Below are 9,618 nucleotides of genomic sequence, written 5' to 3' on the forward strand. Positions count from 1 at the left end.
GCAGTTGCTTCATGTGTAAGAACGCTGTCCCACAGAGGCTGGGGCCATGGCTGCCACATTCACTCTTTCATCCCCAGAGTCCACAGCAGATGAGACAATCAACTTTCATTGAATGGACTACTGAGGGTAAGTGTTAGTAAGCCTGAAATCCAGCATGCACGTGGGGTATCCGTGTGACAACCGCTGCCCTTTATCCTCCCTCCTTGTCTCTGCCCATTCGTCTATTGTGGTTTCTGTTTGGGTCCCGGTGAACATCCCTGTTCCAGCTAGGCCTGGAGCCACCCTCTGAGTCACAGCCTGCCTGGCGGGGGTTCCAAGCTCCCAGCTAGCTGTGCCAGTCTCTGCACTTCCCCAGGAAGAGGCCTCAGCTCCTGCATCTCGAGCTTGTCAGCACCCTGAAAGCATCAGGTTCTATGGGTGTGATGGGGACAGGGTGCTTCCCCCCATTCATTGCTTCCACACCAATCTCACCTGGGAGGCCAGCCTGGTGTCTTCATCTGTTTATCTCTCTTCCTCCTTGAAACTGCGTGACCCCCAGCAGCCCTCCAAGCAGAGGTCTTACACTAGCCCAGCTAAATTCTCCCTTTCTTCCTCTCTTCTCTCCCCTTCAAGGGCCTTGTCCTTGCTTCGTCACCCCCACTTCCCCTCCATGTCAGAGCCAGGGATAGTAACAGCCACAGCCCTCGTGAGCCCTCTCTGTGCGCCAGGTGTGCTGCAGGCATATCCATGAACGAGCCCGGGTGAGTGCTCTTCTCTCCATCTCACAGATGAGGAAACTGAGGCAGGCACAGTTTGGGAAGTGAGCTGTGTTTGTTGGCCAGGACTTCTTTTGACTGGTGACTACATGGTCCAGGCTGGCTCATCAAAGGGTGCTCTTGTGAGTGGCCTGCCACCAGTGGGGACCGACGGGGTTCCCCTAGTGCTGCCAATGAGAGCGGTGGATGCCTCCATGTGGACTCCCATCAGTAGCCCAATATTCCTGACCTCTCTTCTCCCAGGGGGATAGGTAGGATGAATGATTTCGCTGATAGGTGAATTTGGGAGAACAAACAGGTCTCAGGAACCCTCACCTTTTTCGCCTGCCTGCAGGGTGCCTGGGTTGCTACTGTTCTTGGTCACAGAGTGAGCCAGGGGAGTGGCAGCCTCCCTCCCCTGCCCGAGCTGCCCTGGAGCAGGACTGGGAGGGTTCAGGGCTGCAGGAATAGAGTAGATGATTTGTCTAGTTCTGGGGTTTGATATCAGAAGGCCCAGGTGCTTGCAGCTCTCAGCCCTATTCCCCCAAATCAGCTTTCTCAGCTGCTAAGGTGATATTTCGGTCTCTCCTCCTCTTCACTTCTCTCTCTTCACCATTGTTAGGACCTAGCAGGCAAGAGAAGGCCATTTACTGGGCCCCCTCCAGCCCTAACCCACAGCAATGAGGAGGTGCCGGGGGTTCAGTGGGGCTCTCTGACCCCTCCCAGGCCACCTCAGGGGGTGCCTGAGTGCCATCTCAGAAGGCTCTCTGGGTGACAAACCATTTTGGAGGGTAGTGTGCTGCCAGGCGAGATAAATGAGGGGTTTGGGGTAGGGTTGCCAGATAAAACACAGGGTGCCTGCTTAAAATAGAATTTCAGATAAACAATGGGTAATTTTTTAGTATAAGTATGCCTCAAGCATAGCATAAAACATAATATATTAGAAAAATTACTCATTATTTACCCAAAATTTGAATCTAACTGGGCACCCGGCATTTTCATTTGCTAACCCTAGTTGTGTTTGGCAATGCTAGTTTGGGTAGGCTCTGGATGTTTTGCAAGCATGACGTAGGGAGAGGAGAGGAGATGGAGTCCCTATATCTCTCAGAAGGCCTGCAGCTATCAGTAAGAAAACCCTGAGTCAAGGGGCATAGTCAGTGAGGAAATTTATCGTCGCTCATAGCAAGGAGTCCAGGGCCAGGCAGGTTTCCCCCTCAGGCTCCGGAGCTCCAGCTCTACCCACCCCGAGGCTCTCTCAGCTCTGTCCCTGGGATGACCACCCCCAGGGTGCAGCATCCAGCTGTGGGTGTGATGGCCCGGGCCCCCTGCAAGGAGCCCTGTCCCTGTGTCCCTCCGGCAGGCTTGTGTAGAGAGGGGCGGGGGTGCCTGAACTATTTGGGGTCTCCAGCTCTGAAGGAGGGGGGAGGTTGAGATGACGCCTGCCTCTCCCCTCAGGGTGGGCTTTGGTGGAGGTGGTGAGCTCTAAGATCGCCCTCTACTCCATGGAAGCTTCCAGGACACACCAGCACCTGCAGGCGCGTGTCTTCCTTTCCCAGTCAGTGTTTCTCTGAGCATCCTGATTCAGATTCCAGGCACTGAAAGACCCTCCACAAATGTTTCACTGCTTCAGGTGCTCATGCCTGCTGCCCCACCAGGATTGACCCGTGCTCCCCGGTCTCTGTCCTCTGCCGGGAGTACATCTCCTCCACCGGTCTGTAAGTTCCTCTCTGAGGAACGTGCCCTGTATCCCCACGCAATCATTTCCAGGAGCCCTATGAATCTGCATTGTTACAGAATCTGTGAGAGGTCCCTGTGGACCTGCCCAGCCGCCCCAGGCGACAGGTGTTGGCGCTGCCATATCCCTCCCTCCCTCTGCACATCGAGCACTGGTCCTCCCCTGTTCCTAGCACGCAGCCTGGCACACGACAGATGTCCAACTGTTAACTGAGTTGTCCCAAATAAGCCTAGTGGCAGGAGCCCCGGCTGGCTGGGGATTGGGGGTCCAAGGCCACAGACACCCTCAGGTCTGTCCCAATCCATAGGTCAGACAGTGGGTGGGGGTGGCCCTTTAATCGAGGGAGGGGTGCGTCAGGCCGAGGCCAGAACGTTCAGGCTAAAGCTGCTTGAGCCTGACAGAGCTGGGAGCAAGGCCTGCTGGGGAGGTGCCCGGAAGGAGCTGTGATTTCAAGCAGCTCCCTTAGCGTAAGCTCTGGGCTTCTGCAACCCTGCAGAGCACCTGTCTCCCTGGGTAGGGCTTAGAGGGTGAGGCCCCAGCTTTGTGACCTTGGCTCCTGCTGACAAGGGTGAGGAGGTGAGGGAAGCAACTGCCGATATCTGCTTTAGTTCAGACCCGGGAGCCATGAGTATTCTCCAGCATGATTCAGTTTAATGAACACTTGCTTAGAGCCTCCTCTGTGGTAAGGCAGGGTATCTCTCTCATGGGGTGTAACGCCCACATTTCTGCAGTACCAAATGCCAAGAATCAGGTTAAATATTTTAGGTATCTTTATCTCTTTTAACCTCATGACATCCCTGTGAGGTAGGTATTATTCTTATTCTTGTTCTCATTTTTCAGATGAAGAAACTGAGGTTCCAAGAGTTTCGATGACCTCACAAGTACATGGGCAATGCACAGCAGTGTGGAGGCCCCAGAGAGGGGAGCAGAGTGGGGCTGCTCCTGGGGGCCACTGCTACTGCTGAGACATGGGGAGGAGGTCTAAGGGCAACCCCGAGGCCATGGAGCAGATGGCCTGTGTAGCAGTGGTTGTCAGATGGGATAGTGTGACTGTCTGACTGTCCTGGCAACATGGTAGTCCTGGTCTGGGGGTCTGGGGTAAGGACAGGCCAGTGTTTTCATGGGGAGCAGGCTGTTTGGACACTGCCACTTCCCTGGCCAGCTTATGCATTGATTCTTTTTCCCATTTGGCTCCCACAGGGCTTGGTAATGGAACTGAAGAAATCTGAATGAATTGTCTGATGCATCGTGACTAAGCTTGGAATGTGCCAACTGTCCCCCAGGAGTGGCCCTTGGACAGCAGAGCTGGAGCGCCGGGACTCTGAGTGCAGGAAGGAGGCCGTGCTCCAGGAGAGCCATTGACAGAGCTGCTCTGGAGTTCTGGAAGTGCTTGGAGGGTGTGGGCGTTGTCACATGAATCTGTGGCACCAGCCTGTTGGCTTTCTGGTGAAGGGGTGGTGGCACAGTCTGCTGTCGTGCCTCTGGTGGTCCACACAACCTTCACACAACCTTCTTCATTTCTGGTCAGCTTTGGATACTCCCAAGCTTTGTCACTGATCTCATTTTGACTTACCAGGAAGCTCCACATCTTGTTCTTTGTTAATTTCATGGAGGCTTGCAGGATAACTCTCACTTTATTTCCATGAACGCTCCATTTCAAGAATGTTCAGGAAGACTTTCATCACCTCTTTTGGGCCTCCACTTCCCTCCCACCTCCTTCCTACATCTGTTCCTCTCTAGAGTGAATGGTTTCAATTTTATCAACGTTTCTTCCTGTGGCTGTATGTTTAGGTCCTTTCCCCATGCTGATCACCAAATATAAGATTTATTTATATCCTACCTAACATGTACTCTTTAAAAATCAGGTGCCCATAATAATGATAGTAGCTAGGAGCTTTTATTGAGCTCAAACTATCCATGTACTTCATGTTCATATTCTCTTTTAATCTCACAATCACCTTTTGAAGTTGATATTGTTACCTCCCACGTTATCAATGAGGACACTGAGATTCTGGAAGGTTAAGTACCTCCCTTGCTCAAAGTTACACAGCAAACGAAGAGTAGAGCTGGGATGAGACCTAGGAATCTAGGCTCTGAGGCCCTCCACCCTGCTACTCAAATTATGGCCCAGAGACCAGCGGCACAGGCAGCCACCAGGGCCTTGTGAGAACTGCTCACTCTCACGCCCACATCCAGACCTCCTGGATCAGGAGGCTGGTGGTTCACATACATGCTTAAGTTGGAGCAGCTCTGGGTCTAGTCTCCTTGGAAGGAAATGGGCCACTTTAATTCCATTGGTGCTGCCTTGGAGCATGTTAGATTTTGGTGTCACAGCCCCTTTTCTATACCCTTAGTTGGTGCTGTCCTCAGGCTCATCTTTGTCCTGCACAGGCCCTTCCTACAGGAGACACATTTTCTCAGAATGATAGTATGATGGTTAATTTTATGAGTCAACTTGGCTAGGCCATGGTACCCAGACATTTGATTAAACATTATTATAGATATTTCTATCATAGTGTTTTTTAGATGAGATTAACATTTAAATCAGTGGACTGAGTAAAACCGATTACCATCCATAACATGGGTGAGCCTCCTCCAATCAGTTGAAAGTCTTAATAGAAAAACAAAACCAAAAAAACTGACTTCCCCCTTAATAGAAAAAGACTGAAGAAGAAGGATTTCTGCCAGAAAACTGCATGTGGACTTGAACTACAACTCTTCCCTGGATCTCCAACCTGCCAGCCTACCACATTCATGCTCTCTCTCTCTCTCTCTCTCTCTCTCTCTCTCTCTCTCTCTCCTGTTTCTTCTTTTTCTCTGGAGAACCGTAACACACCTTCTCTTTTCTGGAGTCAGAATTCAGTTTTAAGTAGACTTGGCTCTAGGGGTCAGAGGAGATGGATGAATACAGAGGGAAGCCTGGCTGATGTTTGACCGAGGGACAACCCTTATTTCTCTGAAGAAATAGATAGTGTTCCTCATCCTATAACTCTCACTGGGCTCTGTTCTGTAGAGATGGACAGTGGTGTGCACCTGGGCTCTGACCTGTGTTATGCAGTCGCATCTCACATGTTTACACCCATGCCTGCTGCTCCCATGGCTCTGGATCCTCCTGGTACGTATCTCGCTGGTGACCAAGCTTAAGGGTAGGTACCTCTCCTTCAACTCTGCTGCTTGGCCCAGGGCAACTCTGAGGTCATAGCAATGTCCCAGTCAGACTGGTTAGGAGGAAGAGGGGTTGGGGCAGAGTGAAGCAAGGGAGGCTTTCAGCAATTCAACTATCATGTGTCAGGTTTTGCTGTTTTGTGGTTTTATTTCTAATTTTCTTATCCTACTTGAAAAAAGCAGGGTAAAACACTGAGCTTCTTGGTTCTGTAAGTCAATAGTTTTCACCAAATTTGGATTTTTTTTCTATTAATGTCTCCAAAGATTTTCCTGGAGAAATTCCCATTCTCTTTTCTTCTAGCATTCAAATTATAGACATACAAAGTCATTTGATATTTTCCTATTAGTCATCAAGGCTCTGGTTATTTTTCTTTAATCTCTTTCTGTTCTTCAGATTAATACTTTCAATGGATTTTTTAGTTTATTAACTCTTTCTTCTGCTCTCTCCTATTTGATGTTAAACCCATCTAGTAAAATTTTTGCATTAGCAATTGTACAGCTCTCGTTTTTCTTCCTGTTGAGATAGCCATCTGTTTATGAATTAGGATAACATTTTCCCTCAATTCCTTTAAGTCTGATATCTTATTTGGGTACTCAGCATGTTAATGAGGTGTGGGTCAGAGTGCTATGTCCACCAGCACTCTTCACCCTCTCTATTATGCTTTCAAACTTGTAGTAGGCATTCTCTGATAAGACCTAGATAGTTACACCCTGAACATATACAGCCCACTCCTCGGTCTTCAACTTCCAGGGTGCAAGACTTCTAGACTTCTGTCCTCAGCTTTTCCCTCTGTGATATCCTGCCCTGCAACTCCCAGCTTCTCCAGCTGCCTTGAAGTCTGTTTTCTGCCTCTTCAGCCCATTGGTATTGCCATGCTTTGTTCAGACTCATATGCATTACTCTGAAGTTGGGAAATTTCCCTAGAAAGAGAGTAGGGGGTGATTATTGAGCATTACTTTTGTTTTCTCTAACATAACACCTAGTAAATCTTTGAATTTTTATCTTCTATCTCTTATGTTGGGCCATAGAATTGAGTAGTTTCTCTGGCCTTCTTGGTTCTCACACAATGGCATCTTGCCTTTCAGTTCATCTGATTGGTCACAAGACTCTCCTCCTCCTTTTTTTTTTGTTTTTGAGACAGGATCTTGCTCTGCCACCCAGGCTGAAGTGCAGTGGTGCAGTCATGGCTCACTGTAACCTTGACTTTTCAGGCTCAAGTGATCCTCCCACCCATCCTAGCCTCCTGAGTAGCTGGAACTACAGGTGTGCACCACCATGCCTAGCTAAATTTTTCATTTTTTGTAGAGATGGGGGTCTCAAACTCCTGGCCTCAAGCAATCCTCCCATCTTGACCTCTCAAACAAAACACTGGGATTTCAGACATAAGCCACAGTGCCTGGCCACAAAGGCCTTTTTTATTGTGATAGGTAGTATTTATTCCCACTATGTGGCACTCACTGTGTGCTAGGCATTGTGGTAAATGCTATGCAACTATTTCTCACTCTCATATCAGCCTCTTCAGGGAGGTGTTCATATCACCCCCATTTTACATGTAAGGGAGGGGAATGTAGAGGGGTGAAAGGGCTTTCAATGGTCATAAAATAAGGAAACAGCAGTTGAGACCTGAACTCAGGACTCTTCCATCTCATCCCATGCTCTGAGCCATTGCTGTCTTGTTTCTATACACCTATACGCAGCCAAACTTCTCTGCCATTTCAGCCACTTAAAGCACTAACATAGGTTTCTGGAAAACAGTTTCCTCTGGCACTGATTGTTTCTGCCAATGTACAACACAGTATACCCCTGCACTTGATACCCCTGCACTCACCAGACACTCTCTCCTTTCCCCACCATAGCAGCCTTCGATCAAATCGTTTCCAGCACCATCTATGGGTACAGCAGTATCCTAGGGACCCTGAGAGATGATGCAAGAACAATTTTGTTAGCTAAAGGGGTCTTAGAGACACTTAGTTATGTCATCCATTTTGCAGAGGAAAAGACTGACCTAGAAGGGACAAGCCTTGTGAAAGGCACATAGCTGCGACAGTGCCCGCACTAGAACCCAGCTCTTAAGATTTCCAGGTCTATCTGTTAAGATCCTGGCAGGAAGCACATAACACTTGGGTTGCAATTGAAGAAAATTCAGTGAGGGGACTGTTTACAAAGAGTGGGCAGAGTTAAAGGACACTAACAAGGGATGATGAAGGATGCCAGGATTAGTAACAGCAGAAAACCACTGGTACACCTGTGCCTGTAGAGTTTAGAGGAGGGAGAGCTAAAGCAAAGGAGAGGGCCCCCTGACAGGAGCTATGCCCTTGGGTAGAGGAATGCAGCCCAAACAAGCCCTGGCCCATCAGGGAGGGATTTGGGGAAATAAATACCCTGACTTGTCTCTCCTCCCACCTTCTGATCTCCTTTTAGCACCTCCCATTGGCTGAAACCATCTGGAAGCCAGACACCAAGGAAACCTTCTTGATGCAGTTCATGGAGTTTGGCCTCCCTGGACAGAAAGCAGAGCAGAGAAAGGTGGAGGGAGGCTCTGGAGGGGCAAATGGAGAGTAGCCAGCACCTCATACTGATGCCTCTACTCCCTCTGCTCCAGAAGACAGATCATCTCTACTCTTCAGAAGTTTATAAGTCCAGATAGAGGGGCAGGTGTGAACAGGTAACCAATAGCCCAAGACTGAAACCCCTGTGTGGAGCAGAAAGGATTGGCCACCAGGCTGGATGTGCATATGCCCCAGGGGATGGGGTTCTTAGGGAGCAGTTCTTCCAGGTAGGACTTTCTACTCTCTGCACCTCTGGAGAGAATAGGATTCTCTCAATGCAATTAAATTGAACAAGCATTTACTGCATGTGTACTGTTTGTGAGGTGTTGGGTCTCTAAGGATGCATAGGCGTAATCTTCCTCTGCCTTTGAGAGATTCAGAGAGGCATATAGGTGACCAGCACAACATTACTTTTCTGCATGAATGTTGGGGGAGACCGATGTGCTTTTTGGTTCACCACTTGACAGGGTGAGATTTCCATGATGGGTGTTGAGTGTGTGCCTGGACTTTGGCATGGCTTTGGGATAAAAAAGTTTTAAATCTCTGCCTTCTGCCCTGCCATCTCCCTCACTTTCTAATTATAAGAGGAGTGGCAAAATGTGGCCATTATGTGAGCAATCAGGGTCTGGGAACTTTCCAGGGTAGACATTTTCCTGTTTGTTCTGAACTAAGACATCTTTATCCAGTGGCTACTCTGAGAGTATGGGGAGTGGGAACGGGTGATGGTGGAGATTCCCAAGTGTCTCAGTGACAGGCATTATAGGATGGTGGCTCTTTCTCTATTGGAGGTGGGGGGGGTCTGTGAGTGAACATCAAAGATTGGAGCTTCCAGTCCTTTGTAGGTCAAATCCTACAACTGTGCCTTGATGGTATAACAGTGAAAATAGCTAAAATATATTGCCAGGCACTATGTTAAGTGCTCTGCAAGCATTCTCTCGATATATTCTTACAACAATCTTAAGTAGTAGGTACTAGGAGCAAACCGAAGCTATGAAGGATTAGGGGACTTGCCCAGGGTCACACAGTTGGTACGTGGCAGAGATCGAATTCCACTCAGCCCTGTGTGCCTGTGGAATGTTACCTGGGTGTGGAGGTGCTGAGAATGGTGTTGGACTTCAGGAAACAGTTTGCCTCCTGAACCATTTTGCCCATTGTTCTCTGCTTGGGAGGATTGGACCCTCTTGTTCTGAGCACATGAAGGACTCACTGACCTTTTCTGATGCTCCTCAGGGCCCAGGGTTCTCCTCTGAGTGATAGAATATGCAGGAAGCCAGAGCAGGCCTCTGGAGGGCAACCCAACTTAAATAAGCTCCCTAAAAAGCAAGGAAGGTGGAAGGAGGTTGGGGACAAAGAATGCAATATAAAACTTCACCTCCCAGGCCTCCCTCCCCACCTGACCGGCCAACTCTCCTTCCCGTCTTTCCATAAGGCCAG

The 9,618-nt window shown here is 49.1% G+C and overlaps 1 long non-coding RNA gene across 1 annotated transcript; it reads left to right on the top strand.

The window, feature by feature from the left end:
- On the top strand, positions 1-4,306 carry HEAT2 (HEart disease Associated Transcript 2). The gene is made up of 3 exons (NR_159949.1): positions 1-126; positions 613-740; positions 3,670-4,306. It is a non-coding gene; the product is annotated as an HEart disease Associated Transcript 2 (long non-coding RNA).
- Positions 4,307-9,618: the final 5,312 nt, after the last annotated feature.

The sequence above is a fragment of the Homo sapiens genome, chromosome 10 (assembly GCF_000001405.40).
Source record: "Homo sapiens chromosome 10, GRCh38.p14 Primary Assembly".
Lineage (NCBI taxonomy): Eukaryota > Metazoa > Chordata > Mammalia > Primates > Hominidae > Homo > Homo sapiens.